We start from the raw sequence: 20,461 nt of genomic DNA on the forward strand, positions 1-20,461 counted from the left end.
ACCTCAGTCTCCCAAGAAGCTGGCACCACAGGTGTGCACAACCATGCGCAGCTAATTTTGGTATTTTTTGTAGAGACAGGGTCTTGCCATGTTGGTCTTGAACTCCTGAGCTCAACCAATCTACACGCCTCGGGCCTCCCCAAGTGCTGGGATTACAGGCGTGAGCCACTGCACCCAGCCCTAATTAGAGGTTTAAATACTACTGTTTCAGAAATTGAAAAAGCAGACAGAAAATCAACAAAAATACAGAAGATACAAAGAACACTCTTCAATTTAGTTTAATATCAAATGGAACAAACTGACATTTTTATATCATTCCATCTAGTAATAGCAGAATACACTGAATTCTTTTCAAGTGCAGATAAAACCACTGCCAAGATAATTCACATGCTTGGGTTAAAAAACAAACTGAATAAATTTTAAAACTGAAACTATACAGTTAAAGCAATGCTTAAAAGGTAAGTACTTCTATGCTCAATAGTTACACAATCCTCCCACTGAAACATCACAGCAATCTCATGAGGTAGCTTCTGTTATCATTTTACAGATAAGTAAACTAAGGCTAAGAAAGGTGAGATCACTCTTCAATGTCACACAGCTAGTGAGAGGCACCTTGTATTTTTTTAGTAACGGTTTTATTAAGATACAATTAACATACCATACAATTCACCCATTTAAAGTATACAATTCAGTGGCATTTAATATATCCAGAAAGTTGTTTAACTATCACCACAACCAATTTTAGAGCATTTCGTCACCCCCAAAAGAAGCTCTTTATTCTCTAGCAGATCCCTCCCCCATTCGCCCCAGTCCCCTCCCTCAGCCCTGGATAACCACGCATGTGCTTCTGGTATCAAAAAATTTGCTTATTCTGGACATTCCATATAAATAAGTCATATAATATGTGGTCAAAAATAAAAGGTGGCCGGGTGTGGTGGCTCACCCTTGTAATCCCAGCACACTGGGAGGCCAAAGCAGGCGGATTATCTGAGGTCAGGAATTTAAGACCAGCCTGGCCAACATGGTGAAACCTCATCTCTACTAAAAATACAAAAAATTAGCTGGGTGTGGTGGTGCACATCTGTAGTACCCAGCTACTTGAGAGGGTGAGGCAGGAGAATTGCTTGAGCCCAAGAGGCGGAGGTTGCAGTGAGCCAAGATCGCGCCACTGCACTCCAGCCTAGGCGACAGAGCGAGACTCCGTCTAAAAAAAAAAAAAAAAAAATTAAAGATAAATGCTTGTGTTAGAAGAGAAGGTTTCAGATCTAAGCTTAAAACACTATAATATATATTAAAGTAAAAAGGAAAGAATAATAAAGTATGAATGGAAATAAATGAAACAGAAAAGAGAAACAGCTACTCAGGGGATGGAGATGGGAGGATCTCTTGAGCCCAGGAGTTCCAGGCCAGCCTCGACAACATAGCAAGACACTGTCTCAAAAATTTAAAATAAATAAGGCCGGGTGTGATGGCCTTATTCGTTTTTTAGTTTCTACCAAAAAATACAAAAATTAGCTGGGCATGGTGGCGGGTGCCTGTAATCCCAGCTACTTGGGAGGCTGAGGCATGAGAATTGCTTGAACCCGGGAGGCAGAGGTTGCAGTGAGCTGAGAGCACGCCACTGCCCTCCTGACTGGGCAACAGAGTGAGACTCTGTCTCAAAAAAAATTTTTTTAAATAAATAAATACATACATAAGTGAAAAAAAAAGAAACAAACGGTAGTGAAAAAAACGAAAGTTAATGGAAGTTTACCAAGACAGAAAAAGAAAGAAAAAACAAATTACTAATAAGGGATATGAAAGATCACTACAGTGCCTACAGGAATAAAAGGACAATGGAAAATTATAAACAATATTATGCCAACAAATTAGATAAATGCCTTTCAAGGCACAAATTATCAAAATTGACTAAGAAGTAACAGAATGCATAAACAGCCCTTTGAAAGTGGATTCATAATTTTAAATCTAAAAAAGAAAATTCCAGGCCCAGGTGGCTTCAAGGAAGAAATAATTCTAATCTAAACAAACTTTTTAAGAAATAGAAGAGAATGAAGAACATATCAACTCAATTTATGAGGTCAGCGCTATCCTGATAACAAAACCACATGAAGACATTACGAGAAAAATAAAAACCAAAATCATTCATAAAACAGATATAAAAATCCATAATGAAATATTAGCAAATTCAACCCAGCAATGCAAAAAGGACAATATATGACCACAAAATGGGTTTAATAGCTATGCAAGGTTGATTTAACTTTTTTTTTTATTTTTTGAGATGGAGTTTCGCTCTTGTTGCCCAGGCTGGAGTGCAATGGCACAATCTTGGCTCACCACAACTTCCGCCTGCTGGGTTCAAGAGATTTTCCTGCCTCAGCCACCCTAGTAGCTGGGATTACAGGCATGCGCCACCACGCCTGGCTAATTTTTGTATTTTTAGTAGAGACAGGGTTTCTCCATGTTGGTCAGGTTGGTCTCGAACTCCCAACCTCAGGTGATCTGCCCACCTCGACCTCCCAAAGTGCTGGGATTACAGGCGTGAGCCACCGCGCCTGGCTGATTTAACATTAAAAGATCAATTAATGTTATTCACTCCATTAACAGAATATATTAGATCAGTAGATGCAGAAAAAAGTTTTGCGAATCATCCATACCCATTCCTGATACAAACTCTTAGTAAATTAAGAATGGAAGGGAGCTCAGTCAATCTGAGAAAGGGTATCTATGAATAACCAACAATTTACATCATAATTTATGGTTAAAGACTAACATCTTTCCCCTAAAATCAGGAAGAAGGCAAGGATGTCCATTTTCACTACTTTTATTCAACATTTTACTAGAAGACCTAGCCCTGATATAAAGCACTAATAACAAGAAAAGGCATATAGATTGGAAAAAAAGAAGTAAAGCTGTTTTTTGTTTAAGGATGGATGACATGATCTTGTATATAGAAAATTTTAAGGAACATGTAAAAAAGCTAAAAGAACTAACAAAATTTAGCAAGACTGCAGGACACAAGGTCAACTGTATTTTTTTTTTTTTTTTTTAAGAAAGGGTTTCTCATTCTTTCACCCAGGATGGAGAGCAGTGGCATGATCATGACTCAGGGTAGCCTTGACCTCCCAGGCTCAAGTGATCCTGTTACCTCGGCCTCCCAGGTAACTGGGGCTATGGGCATGTGCCACCACAGCCCAAGTAATTTTTTGTATTTTTTGTAGAGACAGGGTTTCACCATGTTACCCAGCTGGTCTCCAACTCCTGGGATCAAGTGATCTGCCTGCCTCAGCTTCCCAAAGTGCTGGCATTAAAGGAGTGAGCCAGCATACCCAGCCACAAGGCCAGTGTTTTAAAAGTGCATTTCTATGTATTAGCAACAAGCAACTGAAAAATGAAATAAAAATAATTCAATTTTTTTTTTTTGAGATGGAGTCTCACTCTGTTGCCCAGGCTGGAGTGCAGTGGTGCAATCTCGGCTCATTGCAACCTCCGCCTCCCAGGTTCAAGTGATTCTCTTGCCTCAGCCTCCCAAGTAGCTGGGACTACAGGCATACGCCACCACACCCGGCTAATTTTTTTTTTTTTTGTATTTTTAGTAAAGATGAGGTTTCACCACCTTGGCCAGGCTGGTCTCCAACTCCTGACCTTGTGATCCGCCCGCCTCTGCCTCCCAAAGTGCTGAGATTAGAGGTGTGAGGTACCGCGCCTGGCCAAATAATACAATTTTTTTTTTTTTTTTAAAAAGACGGAGTCTCACTCTGTTGCCCAGGCCGGAGTGCAATGGCACGACCTCGGCTCACCACAACCTCCGCCTCCCGGGATCAAGTGATTCTCCCTGCCTCAGCCTCCCAAGTAGCTGGGATTACAGGCACCCGCCACCACACACAGCTAATTTTTGTATTTTTAGTAGAGATATGGTTTTGCCTTGTTGGCCAGGCTGGTCTTTAACTCCTGACCTCAGGTGACCTGCCCACCTTGGCCTCCCAAAGTGCTGGGATTACAGGTATGAGCCACCATGTCCAGCCAAATAATTCAATTTTTAAAGCATACTGGAACATAAAATATTTTGGAATAAATTATGAAACACATGCAAGACCTGTATGATAAAAACTATAAAATCCTGGTGAAAGAAACTAAACATATAAGTAAATGAGGATATATACCATTATTATTGACTGGAAGGTTCAATATTATTAAAATAGTAATTCCCCACAGGTGAATTATATATAGATTTTTAATACAATTCCAAGCAAAATGTGACATGGATGCTAAAATTTATATAGACGTACAAAGGAACTAAAACAACCAAAATACCTAAAAATCTTTTGGGGAAGGGGACTCTCCCTATCAGATTTTAAGACTTTTTTAAAGCTACAATAGTAAAGGCAGTAGTGTATTTGAGACAAATCCTGTAGGTCAATGGAAGAGAATTTAGAGTTCAGAAATATCCTTATACATATATGCTTAATTGATTTTCAACAAAGTTACCAAAGTAACTCAATGGGAAAAGAAAAATCTTTTCAACATATGGTACTAGGACAACTGCATATGCATATTAAAAAACTTTAACCTTTATCTCACACTTTAAACAAAAATTAACTCAAAATAAACCATAGACCTACATGTAAAAGCTGAAACTATAGAATTCCTAGAAGAAAATAGGAGAAGGCCAGGCGTGGTGGCTCACGCCTGTAATCCCAGCACTTTGGGAGGTGAAGGCAGAGGGATCACTTGAGGTCAGGAATTCGAGATCAGCCTGGCCAACATAGTGAAAACCCCTCTCTACTAAAAACAAAAAAATTAGCTGGGTGTGGTGGTGGGCACCTGTAATACCAGCTACTCGGGAGGCTGAGGAAGGAGAATTGCTTGAATCCGGGAGGCAGAGGTTGCAGTGAGCCAAGATTGTGCCACTGCACTCCAGCCTGGGTGAGAGTGAGACTCAGTCTCAAAAAAAAAAAAAAAAGAACAAACAAAAAAACAAAATCTCTGTAACTTTAAGTAAAGATTTCTGGGATAATACACAAAAACACAAATCAGAGAAGAAAAAACTCAGATTTTTCATCGTAGCTTCAATTTGCATTGAACTAAACTTTTAATTTTGATGAAATTTTATTTTTTAAGAATTTTGTTCCCCTTCCTGTGTCCATGTGTTCTCATTGTTCAATGGGAGGGATAGCATTAGGAGATATACCTAATGCTAAATGACGAGTTAATGGGTGCAGCACACCAACATGGCACATGTATACATATGTAACAAACCTGCATGTTGTGCACATGTACCCTAAAACTTAAAGTATAATAATAATAAAATTTAAAAAAAAAAGCATTTCAAATGAAAAAAAAAAAAGAATTTTGATGAAATTTTAAATACCCCTACATATCCATCAGAATGGTCAGATTTAAAAGTCTGACAACAATGTTGGCAAGAATGAAAAGCAACCTTCAAAAGCTACTGGTGGGAATGTAACTATGGTACAACCACTTTGAGATAAGGCCTAGCAATTTCATATATATATATATATATATACACACACACATATATATACACATATATATATATACACACATATATATACACACATATATATATATATAAAATACTTTAAGTTCTAGGGTACATGTGCCATGCAGGTTTGTTACATATGTACACATGTGCCATGTTGGTGTGCTGCACCCATTAACTCGTCATTTACATTAGGTATATCTCCTAACGCTATCCCTCCCCCATCCCCCCCACCCCACAATAGGCCCCGATGTGTGATGTTCCCCTTCCTGTGTCCAAGTGTTCTCATTGTTCAGTTCCCACCTATGAGTGAGAAGATGTGGTGTTTGGTTTTTTGTCCTTGCGACAGTTTGCTGAGAATGATGGTTTCCACCTTCATCAATGTCCCCACAAAGGACATGAACTCATCCTTTTTTATGGATGCATAGTATTCCATGGTGTATATGTGCCACATTTGCTTAATCCAGTCTATCATTGATGGACATTTGGGTTGGTTCCAAGTCTTTGCTACTGTGAATAGTGCCGCAATAAACATATATGTGCATGTGTCTTTATAGCAGCATGATTTATAATCCTTTGGGTATATACCCAGTAATGGGATTGCTGGGTCAAACGGTATTTCTAGTTCTAGATCCCTGAGGAATCACTGCAATTTCTTATAAAACTAAACACATACCAATACTATGACCAAAAAAATTCAAAACAAATGTCTGTGCAAAGGCTTGTACAAGCCTTTTTATAATAAAAAGCGGTTTTATTTCTATTAGCCAACTATTTATTTATTTAAAGACAGGAACTCCCTCTCTCACCCAGGCTGGAATGCAGTGGCGTGATCATAATTCACTGTAACATGGAACTGCTGGGGCTCAAGCGACGCCCCAGCTTTGGCCTCCTGAAGTATTCAGATTACAGACAGGAGCCACCATGCCCTGGCCCGTAATAGCCAACACTGTACAACTGCCATGTATTCATCAGGAGGAGAATGCCTGAACTGTGGTATGCTCAGACAATGGAATACTACTCAGTAACAAAAAGGAATGAGCTACTGATATCTGAAACAACTGGAATGAATCTCAAGCACAATGCAATGCTTAGTCACAGAAGGTTTACACAAGAGTCCATACTGTGTGAGTCAAGTTCACGAACAGATGCAAGTAATCTCGAGTGAAAACAATCACAAGAGTGACAGCCTCTGGGGTAATGGGTACTGGACTGACTAAAAAGGAGGATAGAAGGAACAATCTGGAATGATGCTATCTTGTACAAATTGACAAAGGTTTAGGTTACACAGATGTATTTCCTCAAAACTCACTTAATGGTAAACTTTAATTTTGTGCATTTCACTGTATGTAAACTTTACATAAAAAAGAATTAGTAGGTGGGTCACAGTGGCTCATGCCTATTACCCCACTTTGGGAGGCCAAGGTGGGAGGATTGCTTGAGGCCAGAAGTTTGAGGCCACCCTGGGCAATGCAGCAAAACCCCATCTCTACAAAAAAATTTAAAAATTAGCTGGGCATGTTGGTGCACCGTACTCAGGTGGTCCCAGCTATTCAGGAGGCTAGAAGCAGGAGGACTGCTTGAGCCCAGGAGACTGAGGCTGCAGTAAGCTACAATTGCATCCCTGTACTCCAAACTGCATGACAGACAGAGACTCTGTCTCAAATTAAAAAAAAAAAAAAAAAAATTAGTAGTTGGGCAGTGGCAATGTGCCTATAGTTCCAGCTATGTTTGATGCTGAGGCAGGAGGATAGCTTGAATCCAGAAGTTCAAGATCAGCCTAGGCAACATAGGAAGATCTCATCTCATTAAAAAAAAAAAAAGTAAACATATTACATATATGCATGATGAAGTGTTTGTGGGTGACGTCCGCAATTTACTTCAAAATGCATTAAAAAATAAGATGGTGTCAGGCGTGGTGGCTCATCCCTGTAATCCTAGAACTTTGGGAGGCTGAGGCGGTTGGATCACCTGAGGCCAGGAGTTCGAGACCAGCCTGGCCAATATGGTGAAACTCCATCTCTACTAAAAATACAAAAATTAGCTGGGCGTGGTGGCACACACCTGTAATCCCAGCTACTCGGGAGGCTGAGGCAGGAGAATTGCTTGAACCCAGGAGGCAGAAGTTGCAGTGAGCAGTGATCACGCCATTGTACTCCAGCCTAGGCAACAGAGCAAGACTCCATCTCAAAAAAAAAAAAAAAAGATCTACTGATGAATGGTAAGACGAATCCATAAATGGACAAATATGTCAGAACTCAAATATAGCTGACCCCTGAACAATGCAGGGGTTAGGGATGCTGAGCCCCCTCCCTAACACAGTTAAAAATCCATGTATAACTTTCAACTCCCTGAAAAATCCATGTATAACTTTTAACTACCTGAAATTTAACTAATAAATGTCCTTTGTGGCAGTTTTTTTTTTTTTTTTTCCAGAAAAGGTACTTTCTTCTGCACTAAAAACCTGTTCAGGCAGGTATCCTTTCCCCTCAGTGGCACCTGGGAACTTGTCTGCTGCCTCTTGGTTGGCAGAAGCTGCTTCTCGTGTTAACATTTTTAAAGCCAAAGCTCTTTTGAAAATTATCAAACCCTTTTTTTGCCAGAATTTAATTCTCTAGCTGTAGATCCTTCACTTTCCTTTTGCTTTGTTATATAATGAGTTTGCTTTTTCTCAAATCATAATATATGTCTTTTTTTTTTTTTTTTTTTTGCGGGGGGGGATGGAGTCTTGCTCTGTCGCCCAGGCTGGAGTGCAGTGGTGTGATCTCAGCTCACTGCAACCTCCACCTTCTGGGTTCAAGCAGTTCTCCTGTCTCAGCCTCCCGAGTAGCTGAGACTACAGGCTCACGCCACGACGCCCAGCTAATTTTTGTATTTTTAGTAGAGACGAGAGTTTCACCATATTGGTCAGGCTGGTCTTGAATTCTTGACCTAAGGTGACCAACCCGCTGTGGCCTGCCAAAGTGCTGGGATTACAGGTGTGAGCTACTGTGCCCGGTCTGTAAGTATGTCTTATAGCAACCTTGCACCTACATAAATGCTACATTTTCATTATGAGATAAAAAGGTATTTCACAAAAAGTGTAAGGTTTTCATGGCTGCTAACGTAGCTACAGTGATGGCTTCACAGATTTTCTTTTCTTTTTTTACAACACTCCTTACTGGATTAATTATCTTAAAATGGCATGCAACCACAATGGCAAACCTTGATCTATGGTACATATCAAGCAATTCAACTTATAGCCTACCAGTAACTAGAAACCTTACAGATAACATAAACAGTCAATTAACAAATACTTTGTATATTATATGTATTATATATTGTTTTTTCTTTTTCTTTCTTTTTCTTTTTTTTTTTTGAGACAGTCTTGCTCTGTCACCCAGGCTGGAGTGCAGTCGCGCGATCTTGGCTCACTGCAACCTCCACCTCCCAGGTTCAAGTGATTCTCGTGTCTCAGCCTCCTGAGTAGCCGGGATTACAGGTGCATGCCACCACAGATGGCTAATTTTTGTATTTTTAGTAGAGATGGGGTTTCACCATGTTGGCCAGGCTGGTCTTGAACTCCTGACCTCAGGTGATGTACCCTCCTCAGCCTCCCATAGTGCTGGGATTACAGGCGTGAGCCACCACACCCAGCCTATATACTGTATTCTTACAATACAGTTAGCTAGAGAAAAGAATTTTTTCCCCCCCGAGACGGAGTTTTGCTTTTGTTACCCAGGCTGGAGTACAATGGTGCAATCTTGGCTCACTGCAACCTCTGCCTCCCAGGTTCAAGCGATTCTCCTGTCTCAGCCTCCCGAGCAGCTGGGATTACAGGTGCTCACACCATGCTCGGCTAATTTTTGTATTTTTAGTAGAGACGGGGTTTCACCATGTTGGCCAGGCTGGTCTTGAACTCCTGACCTCATGATCTGCCCACCTTGGCCTCCCAAAGTGCTGGGATTACAGGCGTGAGCCACAGCGCCGGGCTGAGAAAAGAAAATGTTACTAAGAAAATTGGCCAGGGCTGAGCACGGTGGCTCACACCTGTAATCCTAGCACTTTAGGAGGCTGAGGCAGGAGGATCACTTGAGGCCAGGAGTTCGAGACCAGGTTGGCCAACATGGCGAAATCCCACCTCTACTAAAAATACAAAAATTAGGCGGGCATGGTGGAACATGCCTGTAATCCCAGCTACTCAGGATGCTGAGGCAGAATAATCTCTTGAACCCCGGAGGTGCAGGTTGCAGTGAGCTGAGATCGCGCCACTGTGCTCCAGCCTTCCAACCTGGGCAACAGAGTGAGAATCTGTCTCAAAAAAAAAAAAAAAAAAAAAAAAAGGAAAAAGAAAATCATAAGGAAGAGAAATATATTTACTATTCATTAAATGGAAGTGGATTATCATAAAGGTCTTCATCCTCATTGCCTTCACATTGAGTAGGCTGTGGAGGAGGAGGAGGGGTTGGTCTTGCTGTCTCAGGGGTGGCAGAGAGAGGAGAGGTGAAGGAGATGGAAGGGGAGGCAGGAGAGACAGGCAACTGGGTATAATTTTATGCAAATATGTCATAATTTGTGTCTGACATTTCTGCTTTTTCATTTCTCTAAAATGTTTCTATATGGCACCAATCCTTCCACTATTTGCTTTCATTTCAGTGTCCATTATCATAGAAGCATCCATCTCATAGAAGTCAAAAGCCCAATCCTGAATAATCTAAACCCTTCTGCTGGGTTGTCTAATGTCCATTTGTTTTCTGCCACTGCTTCTTCTATGTCTGCTTCCTGGCACTGGTTCAGAAACATTCATGTCCACCCCACGTCATCTTCTGTTAATTCTTCTGGTGTGGTGTCTATTAGCTCTTGAATTTCTCCAAGATCTGTATCTCGAAACCCTTCACTCCCCACCCTTTTTGCCACATCCACAATCTCTTTCATGATTTCCTTGATTGTCACAAATCCTCTGAAGTCATGCACAACATCTAGACACAGTTTTCTCCAGCAGGAATGATTCCAGGCTTGATGGCTTTCAAGCCTTTTTCTGTAATAATGATGGCATTTCCAATGGTGGAATCCTTTCAGGCTTTCATGATGTTCTCTCCATTGGGGGTTCTCTTCCATAGTTTTGATAATACATACTCTGTGTAATGAACCTTAAAGGTCCTTAGGACCCCCCATCTAGAGGCTGACATTGTGTTCTGGGGCAAGTAGGCCACTTTGATACCTTCAGTATAGAATTAATGGGGTTCTGGACAGCCACGGCATTGCCAAATATCAAAAAAACTTTAAAAGGTAGTCCCTTACTGGCAAGGTACTTCCTGATTTCAAGGACACAGCATCAACGAAACTAATCTGGAAGAAAGTTCCTGTTGTCCAGACCTTCTTGTTGTACTGGCAGCTGGTGTTTATCTTTTCTGTCAAGGTGCATTAGCAGCTTTATAGATAAAGACTCTCCTGATCATAAACCCAAGTGCATTTGCACAAAATAACAGAGTTGTCTATCCCTTCCTGTTTAAATCCTGGTGTTCACTTCTCTTCCTTACTAATAAATGTCTTTTGTGGCAGGTTTTTTTTTTTTTTCCAGAAAAGGTACTTTCTGGGAACTTGTCTGCTGCCTCTTGGTTGGCAGAAGCTGCTTCTCGTGTTATCTTAACATTTTTAAAGCCAAAGCTCTTTCGAAAATTATCAAACCCTTTCTTGCCAGAATTTAATTCTCTAGCTGTAGATCCTTCACTTTCCTTTTGCTTTGTTATATAATGAGTTTGCTTTTTCTCAAATCATAATATATGTCTTTTTTTTGTGTGTATGTCGGGGGGGAATGGAGTCTTGCTCTGTCGCCCAGGCTGGAGTCCAGTGGTGTGATCTCAGCTCACTGCAACCTCCGCCTTCTGGTTTCAAGCAGTTCTCCTGTCTCAGCCTCCCGAGTAGCTGAGACTACAGGCTCACGCCACGACGCCCAGCTAATTTTTATATTTTTAGTAGAGACGAGGGTTTCACCATATTGGTCAGGCTGGTCTTGAAATCTTGACCTAAGGTGATCCACCCTCTGTGGCCTCCCAAAGTGCTGGGATTACAGGCGTGAGCTACTGTGCCCGGCCTGTAAGTATGTCTTATAGCAACCTTGCACCTACATAAACGCTACATTTTCATTATGAGATAAAAAGGTATTTCACAAAAAGTGTAAGGTTTTCATGCCTGCTAACGTAGCTACAGTGATGGCTTCACAAATTTTCTTTTCTTTTTTTACAACACTCCTTACTGGATTAATTTATCTTGAAATGGCAGGCAACCACAATGGCAAACCTTGATCTATGGTACATATCAAGCAATTCAACTTTTTCTTGTAATGTCATGACTTTTCATTGCTTCTTGGGAGCACTTGAAGCATCACTTCATATGGATCCCATGGTGTTATGCAAGGTTTACTACAGTACTGCACTAAACACAATAAAAAATATGTGAGAACCACTAGAGATCATTTTTTATTACAATACACAATTTACTGGAGAGACAAACTGCTCACGGAAATGACAGGCATTCTAAGCAGTACTTGCAACACTTGAGCTTACTGCCAGAGCAACAGGATGTGGCTACCAAATTATTACAGTAGTACAGTAGGCACTACAGTGATTTTATGCAGTTATGATTTTTTAAAATTATACTTTAAGTTCTAGGGTACATGTGCACACGTGCAGGTTTGTTACATATGTATACATGTGCCATGTTGGTGTGCTGCACCCATTAACTTGTCATTTACATTAGGTATATCTCCTAATGCTATCCCTCCCCCCTCCCCCGACCCCACAACAGGCCCCGGTGTGTGATGTTCCCCTTCCTGTGTCCATGTGCTCTCATTGTTCAATTCCCACCTATGAGTGAGAACATGCGGTGTTTGGTTTTTTGTCCTTCCATAAAAAATGATGAGTTCATGTCCTTTGTAGGGACATGGATGAAGCTGGAAACCATCATTCTCAGCAAACTATCACAAGGACAGTTATGATTTAATATTGCATCATTACTTTTGTTTACACTTCTCTGGACTGTGAATGGTACCATATATGGTCTGTAAGTGTGTGCATAAATTTTAATCATTCATAATAGATTTGTATATATCTTATAGTAGTAAATGATAAAATAGACTAGTGTCTACATATATTTTATGTATTCATGATATACCTTTTTCTTAATTTATTCAATATTTCTTTTTTTGTATGATTTTATTTTTTTTCTCACTGGCACTGACCTACTGCACTTAAACACTTCCATCAGACTCAAAAAATAATTTTATTTCAGGAGAAAGAAAATATTTTACTTAGCTTCTGTTTATACTGTTTCATTATTAAGAGTTTTTTTTTTCTAAGAGATAGGATCTTCCTATGTTGCCCAGGCTGATCTCCAATTCCTGGCTTCAAGCAGTCCTCCTGCCTCAGCCTCCTGAGTAGCTGGGACTATAGGTATATGCCACTTCTCCCAGCTTGACTTTTTTTTTTTTTTTTTACTATAATGGAATGTGTTTTTATTCACCCATTGGAAAAGCCTTTGCTACATATTAATACAAACTTGTCACTAATAAATCCTTCTTTAAGTAAGAAAATAATATAACATGAGCATAACTTTGTGTGAGTTTTAATGTCCTGGAGCCTTGTTGCTTCATGTATAAAGTGCAGGTCAGTAAAAATTAAAATGAGGTAATATGGTATAATAGGCTTAACCCAATAAGTGTACAATAAAGGACGGCTGTAATTTTAACATGAATTCAACTGAAATCCTGATAGGGCAACACCAATAACAATGTTTCCTATATAGCTCACAAATTGTTCTTTGTCATCCCCTCATCTACCCAATGGGAATTAGAGCTAGCCTGTTAGGCTGCTTGACAGGACCACTGAATGCTGGAAATCAACCATATTCTATCCCCTCATTTAACAGATGGGAAAGCAGAGGCTCAGGGAGTTTGGGAAACTTGTCCACAAAGGCACAACTACTTTGTGGCTGAACTACGTCTAGGACCAGGCTCTCTTTATTGACACAAGTATCTCTTTCCTTTTTATGCCCCTTCACGTTTACAAAGCACCTCCTCAGCTCCATGATTTTGTTTATTATGCTACATCACTCAGCTCATGAAAATGGCTTTTTTTTCCTCCTTTCTTGTCATTGGAAGTTTTTTGCATTCTTGTAGCAGCTGATTCCATACTAACCCTTAAAATGAAAAAATAATAAAAAAATACACACACACACACACACGTGAATATGTGGAAGAAACAGCACTAGGTCTCCCAGGACAACCCAGTGCAGGCCACACCCTGGCAGTCACAAAGCACATATAAGAAATTGTCTTCCCATGTGAATTGCTTTTGACACTTCAATGCTAAAGAGCTCAGAAGTGCTTCCACTTTGAAAGAAGCCCAGGAACATTGTAGCCTACCCGTTAATGTGTCTCATTTTGAGACAGAACAGTGAGCAGGTTAACCAGTTGCTCTTCATGTACTTCTTGCAGTAAGTCCTTCAAAGAATGAAGAGTGAAGACAATTCATTTCTCCTGCTGGAATTTTTCCTTCTTATTCTTTTGCTTTTTTAAAGGTTGTTATATTCAGGTATAGGGATAAGACATTATAAAAGATAAAGGATATCATATGAGGGAGGAAATCAGACAATTAATCCAAAAAAATCTTCTGTAGAAATTAAAAATCAAAACTTGTGGGCAAGGTAGGAGGCAACACGTTCTTTCCACAGAGCTGTTCCTCAAAAGCAGGAATGAAAAACAAAAAACGAAAAACAAAAAAACAGACCTCAGCTGCATAATGAAGCTGGGGTCTTGGCCTGACAGCTTTTAATATCCTTAAAACCGGGCTGGGCATCAAGCGTCTTCTCCAGAATAGGCCAAGGAAGACAAGTCCAGTTTGGTTTTTAAGGCTTTAGTGAGCTCTGCAGCGAGCACATCATGGAGGGACACGCAATCGTGGGAGTACACCCAGTTTTTCTCAGTCCAGTCATAACGCTTGAGTCCACTGGATGGAGAAGATAACCAGATTTGCTTGTTTGGTGTCTGCTTGTTGATCACGTAGGTTGCTAGATCTCTACCCAGTTTACCAGTTAAGACACCACTCCCAAAGGAAACATCATAGTCCTCAAACGTGTATGGCTTGTCTGCAAGGTCTTCAAAAAACTCTGCTAAAGAGTCCAGTGATTCCTCCGCTAGTCTTTCATAGGTGGTCTCATCTACAGAGCCTGGGTGGCCCAAAGTTCCCGATTTCCTCAAATTCATCAAATAGACACTCTGCTTTTTGACATTCCGAATCTGGTTGAGGCCATGGAGGTTCAAACTGGCATGGTGGGGTGCGCAGGCCACGGCGATTCCAGTGCGCAGGCCCCAGCAGCCATAGAGCGGGGCCAATTCTGCTGGCCGCAGGGCCCAGGTGAGCAATGTTTTCAATATTCCTAGGCTATGTAGTTCATCTGTTTTCCAAACTGTAGGAAATCTCCAAAATTTTTCCAATTTATTTTTTGGAAAAAAAAAAAAAAAGGCTGTGTCTTAAGTGGAACTGCACAGTTGGCCCATGCAGTGGTACAATCAGAGCTCACTGCAGCCTCAAACCCCTGGGCTCAAGCAATTCTCCCACCTTAGCCTCCTGAAGAGCTGGGACTATAGGCACACATCACTACTCCTGGCTAATTTTAAAAATTTCTTTGTAGAAATGAGGTCTCACTATGTTACCCAGGCTGGTCTCAAATTCCTAGCCTGAAGTGATGCTCCTGTCTCGGCCTCCCAAAGTGCTGAGATTACAGGTGTGAGCCACTGCGCCTGGCCCATTGCACAGTTCTTTTACATTTCAAAATTATCATAATAAAACAGAAAGAAATAATATTCTGAAACCAAAAGCTGCAAAATATTTTTTTAACTGTTCAGGCATATTTGAAAAAAAAATTTTCCTTACAGAAGTGAAAAATATAATGGCTAAAATATTTAAAACCTCAATGAAGTGTTGTATAGGTACATCCATACACAAAAAAGCAACAGCTAGAAAACTGGACTATCAAGTCAAGCAAAAGACTTGAACACATTCTTTACAAAGAGAAAAACAGAACACATATGAGAAGTTGCTCAACCTTAACAGTAATCCTCGAAATAAAAATTAAAACCACAATGTCCTACCACTTTACATTCAGCAGATTCACAAAAGCTATAAAGTATGATTGCAACAAGTGTTGGAAAGGAAGGATTACAGAAATAGCAACTCTTATATCCTGCTGGTATAAGTGTAAACTGATACAACCGCTTTGGAACACAGTCTGGCATTACCTAGTAAAATTAAATATGCTTATATCCTCTGATCTTGCAATTCTACTATTAGGTATATTCCTCAGAGAAAATCTTACATATGTGTACCAGGAAACTGATACAAGAATTTCACAGTAACATCATTTTTTTTTTTCCAAGACTGAGTATTGCTCTGTTGCACAGGCTGGAGTGCAGCGGCATGATCTCTGCTCACTGCAACCTCCGCCTCCTGGGTTCAGGCAATTCTCCTTCCTCAGCCTCCCGAGTAGCTGGGATTACAGGTGCATGCCACCATGTCTGGCTAATTTTTGTATTTTTAGTAGAGACAGGATTTCATCATGTTGGCCAGCCTGGTCTTGAACTCCTGAGCTTGTGATCTGCCTGCCTCTGCCTCCCAAAGTGCTGGGATTACAGGTGTGAGCCACTGCGCCTGGCCAGTATCATTTATATAATAATAAAAACTTGGAAGCAACCCAAATGTCCATTATCAGAAGAATAAGTGATTTGCAATATATAGTCAAACACTGCCTAGTGTTGCACAGTCAAACAAAATGAATGAGTGAAAGCTATAGTCAATCAACATGGCTCAATCTCAGGAATAACTGGAAAAAAGGAAGCTGCAGAATACATACAATATGGATTCATAAATATGTTGTGTAGGAATAGAAATACATGCTGCAAAACTACAAAGAAAAATGAATGATTAAAAAAAAAATTTCAGGGCCGGGTGCAGTGGCTCATGCCAATAATCCCAGCGCTTTGGAAGGCCAAGGCGGGTGGATCACCTGAGGTCAGGAGATCGAGACCAGCCTGGCCAATATGGTGAAACCCTGTATCTACTAAAAATACAAAAAATTAGCCAGGTGTGGTGGTGGGCGCCTATAATCCCAGCTACTACTTGGGAGTCTGAGCCAGGAGAATCACTTGAACCCAGGAGGCAGAGGTTGCAGTGAGCTGAGATCGAGTCATTGCACTCCAGCCTGGGCAACATGAGTGAAACTCCATCTCTAAATAAATAAATAAATAAATAAAATTCAGGATGTAAGTTTCATTTGAGAGGGAGATAGGATCAGGGATGTATTGAAAATGTTCTACTTTTATTTTTTTTAATTTTTTGAGTTGGAGTTTCGTTCTTGTCGTCCAGGCTGGAGTGCAGTGATGCAATCTCTGCTCACCACAACCTCCGCCTCCTGGGTTCAAGCAATTCTCCTGCCTCAGCCTCCAGAGTAGCTGGGATTACAGGCGCGTGCCACCATACCTGGCTAATTTTTTTATTTTTAGTAGAGAAGGAGTTTCAGCATGTTGGCCAGGCTGGTCTCCAACTCATGACCTCAAGTGTTCCACCAGCTTCGACCTCCCAAAGTGCTGAGATTACAGGCGGGAGCCACCACGGCCAGCCAGAAAATGTTCTACTTTTAAACAAACGATAGGTACTCAAATGTGCCTTAATATTGTTAATCTTTATACTTTACGTATTCAAATGTATTTTTTTACTTAGCAGACCAGTGTGACGGTACATTTGTAAATATTATTTTGAATTTATCCAAAATAATATTATTTTATTATAACCTTATTTTATACAGGTAAAATATAATACATGGTTCTTAAATACCTAAAATGATAAAATTCGTCTTTAATAATGTTCTTTGCCTACCCGAAAAATCTTGTGCATCCTCATGGTGGCTGAACAAAAGATAAATCTTGTGAGGAGCAAGCGAAGAAATTCATCTCCAAAAAACTGGAGAAATGCCTGATCTGCAAAGAGGAGAAAAGTGACAGTAAAAAGATGCTTAAATGGAAATTATGTTTCAAAGGGGAAGGAAACTTCAGGAAAGCGTTCTCAACTTTCCTGCCTGGGACACATACCTTTAAAAATTCAAACAATTTAAAATAAGTAACCATTTTAAGCCATTATAGTACATTCTGTTAAACGTGCAGTTAGATTAGGAGGGTACCTATTGAACGTGAATGAGTCAGTAGCTGGGCAATATCACGGTTGATTTTTCGAAGATATTCTTGACACTTTTCCCATAGGCCTCTGCGCATGCTTGACAATCCAGAGACAAATAGGAAGGCCATTAGAGGATTGTTCAAAAAGAGAGTGAAGAGGCTACCTCGCTGAGATTGATCTGTAATAACAAACATGTTATATATATAGACAATAGTTTTGCAAAAGATAAGAGATACATATGAGGAACATTTTAATATACTGATAATATATAAAATTAAAGCTATCTCATTAAATCATAATTCATCAAAGCAGATTCTTCACGAAACTACAAAAACTTTGCTATGTTGCTTTCTGCTGAACAAACTTCAGAAAGAGCCTAGAAAACTTAAGAGAAATGGAAAATGATATTTCTTACTATTTTTTGCTCTCAATTAACAAATTTCATCCAAATATGGCAAGTGTTGGATTATGGGTTATCTTGATAGAATTCTCTGATGAGTGCTACAAACGCCAGTCTTTTTCATTCTCTTCTGAGTTGCTCTCTATGAGCTGCTCTTTCCCTTCCTATCTCTTAAATATGAGTAGTTTCTTTCTTTGGCCCCATACATTGCTGACTGCTCTCACTCCCATGATTTTAGTTACCATTTATATGCCTACAAATTTCTAATTCTCTATCAGCAGCCTAAATTGAATTCCTTAGGTCTGGCACTGCTCTGTCTTGCGGTAGATACTGGACACTAAAAACGTGACTAGATGAGTAAAATACTGGACACTAAAAATGTGACTAGATGAGTAAAATGTGACTAGATGATTTCAAAGCTTTAGTACAAAATGTCATTGTTAACACTAATTTCACCTGTTTCTTTTTACTGTTTTTGATATAGGTAATAGAAAATTTAATGACTCACACTCTTACTTCTTTTAAGTACTGCTGCTCTAGGCTACTCTATTCAACCTAATTCTCAAAGGCACCTCAAACTCAACATGTCAACAACTCAAAGCAAATTATTTCCCCTTTTGTTCTCTACAAATATGCTTCTCATCAGGTATTATCATTTCTACCAGCATCTCAGCCAGAAACCTGGAAGTCTATTCCTGCCTTCCCTCCCCACACCTAGTCCATCACAAAGTCCTGTTGGTTCTATGGTTCTATGGGCTTAGTATCTTTGCAGCTGGCTACTAGTCATTGTGCTATCTCCAGCCATCTCCCTATTTTCATCCATGCCCCTCCCAAGTTCATTCTCTAGGACATTAACTGAATGCTCTTTCATGCTACTCTCCTGTTTAAATCTTTTGATGGTACAAGTTGAGTATCCCTTATCCAAAATGCTTGGGGCCACAAGTGTTTGGATTTTGGGTTTTTTGGGATTTGCAATATTTGCATATACATAATGAGATGTCCTGGGGACAGGTCCCAAGTCTAAACACGAAGTTTATTAATGTTTCATATGTACCGTATACACATAACCTAAAGGTAACTTTACATAATATTTTAAATAATTTTGTACATGAAACAAACCTTGTGCTAAGTACTGATATGTGGAATTTTTCACTTTCAGTATCGTGTTGATACTCAAACTTTTGAATTTTGGAGCATTTCAGATTTTAGGACTAAGAATGCTCAACCTGTACCCCATTGTCTTCCACTTAAATTACTTAACAAATCTTAGAAATTCTTTCACAATTCAATCACACAATCTCAAACTCTACCCTTTAGCTAGAAGGAATGACTAATTTCTCTATGTGCTTGGCCAGGTGTGGTGGCTCACGCCTGTAATCCCAGCACTTTGGGAGGCCAAGGTGGGTGGATCACTTGAGGTCAAGTGTTCAAGGCCAGCCTGGCCAACATGGCAAAACCCTGTCTCTAGTGAAAATACAAAATTAGGCCAGGCACGGTGGCTCACGCCTGTAATCCCAGCACTTTTGGAGGCGGAGGCGGGCAGATCACGAGGTCAGGAGTTTGAGACCAGCCTGGCCAACATTTTTAGTCTCTCATAAAAATACAAAAAAATTAGCTGGGAGTGGTGGCGAGCGCCTGTAATCCCAGCTTCTCGGGACGCTGAGGCAAGGAGAATCGCTTGAACTTGGGAGGCAGAGGTTGTAGTGAGCTGAGACTGCGCCACTGCATCTAGCCTGGGCGACAGTGCAAGACTCCATCTCAAAAAAATACAATAAAATAAATTTCTCTACATGCTCCCTAAGCTGTCTTATCTCATGGCCACAGCACATGCAAATTCTCAGCTGGAACACTCTTGCTCGGTCATTTCCCACCCCCATCTAGTTCTCCATGTTCTTAACGTCCACGTTAGACATTATCTCATCCCCTTCCCTCGTCTTCATTGTGCTGCTAGTCAGGAGTTCCTCGTCCATTTGCAGGCATCCTCTTGTGAATCACTTATAATAACCGCCCATCAGGCTCTGTCTATCTGCCACAAGACATTTGGCTCTGTGAAGAATGTAACTGTGCTTGTCAGGTCATAGTGCTATCTCCAGTGCCCAGCACAGTACCTGATAATAAATGTTGAATAGCACTTTGGGAGGCCAAGGCAGGCAGATCTCTTGAGCCCAGGAGTTTGAGACCAGCCTAGGCAACATGGTGAGACCCAGTCCCTACAAAAAAAAAATACAAAAATTAGCTGGGTGTGGTAGTGTATACCTGTGGTCCCAGCTACTTGAGAGGCTGAAGTGGGAGGATCACCTGAGCCCAGGAGGTAGAGGCTGAAGTGAGCTATGATCACACAACTGTACTCCAGCC

The 20,461-nt window shown here is 40.4% G+C and overlaps 1 protein-coding gene and 1 pseudogene across 6 annotated transcripts in view; both read right to left on the minus strand.

The window, feature by feature from the left end:
* Positions 1-20,461, minus strand: part of SCAI (suppressor of cancer cell invasion) — a 200,921-nt gene that overhangs the window by 11,353 nt on the left and 169,107 nt on the right. For 2 of the 6 annotated variants that reach the window (NM_001144877.3, NM_173690.5), the window contains 2 exons: positions 17,711-17,884; positions 17,410-17,510 (listed from right to left, as the gene is read on the minus strand). In NM_001144877.3, coding sequence (NP_001138349.1) covers positions 17,410-17,510; positions 17,711-17,884 — 275 coding nt within the window. Of the gene's footprint in view, positions 1-17,409; positions 17,511-17,710; positions 17,885-20,461 lie in introns of those variants that run through there. The other 4 variants (XR_007061282.1, XR_007061281.1, XR_007061283.1 and 1 more) reach the window with 2 other exon arrangements.
* FXNP2 (frataxin pseudogene 2) lies at positions 14,285-14,897 on the minus strand (annotated as a pseudogene).

Source organism: Homo sapiens, chromosome 9, assembly GCF_000001405.40.
Source record: "Homo sapiens chromosome 9, GRCh38.p14 Primary Assembly".
NCBI lineage: Eukaryota > Metazoa > Chordata > Mammalia > Primates > Hominidae > Homo > Homo sapiens.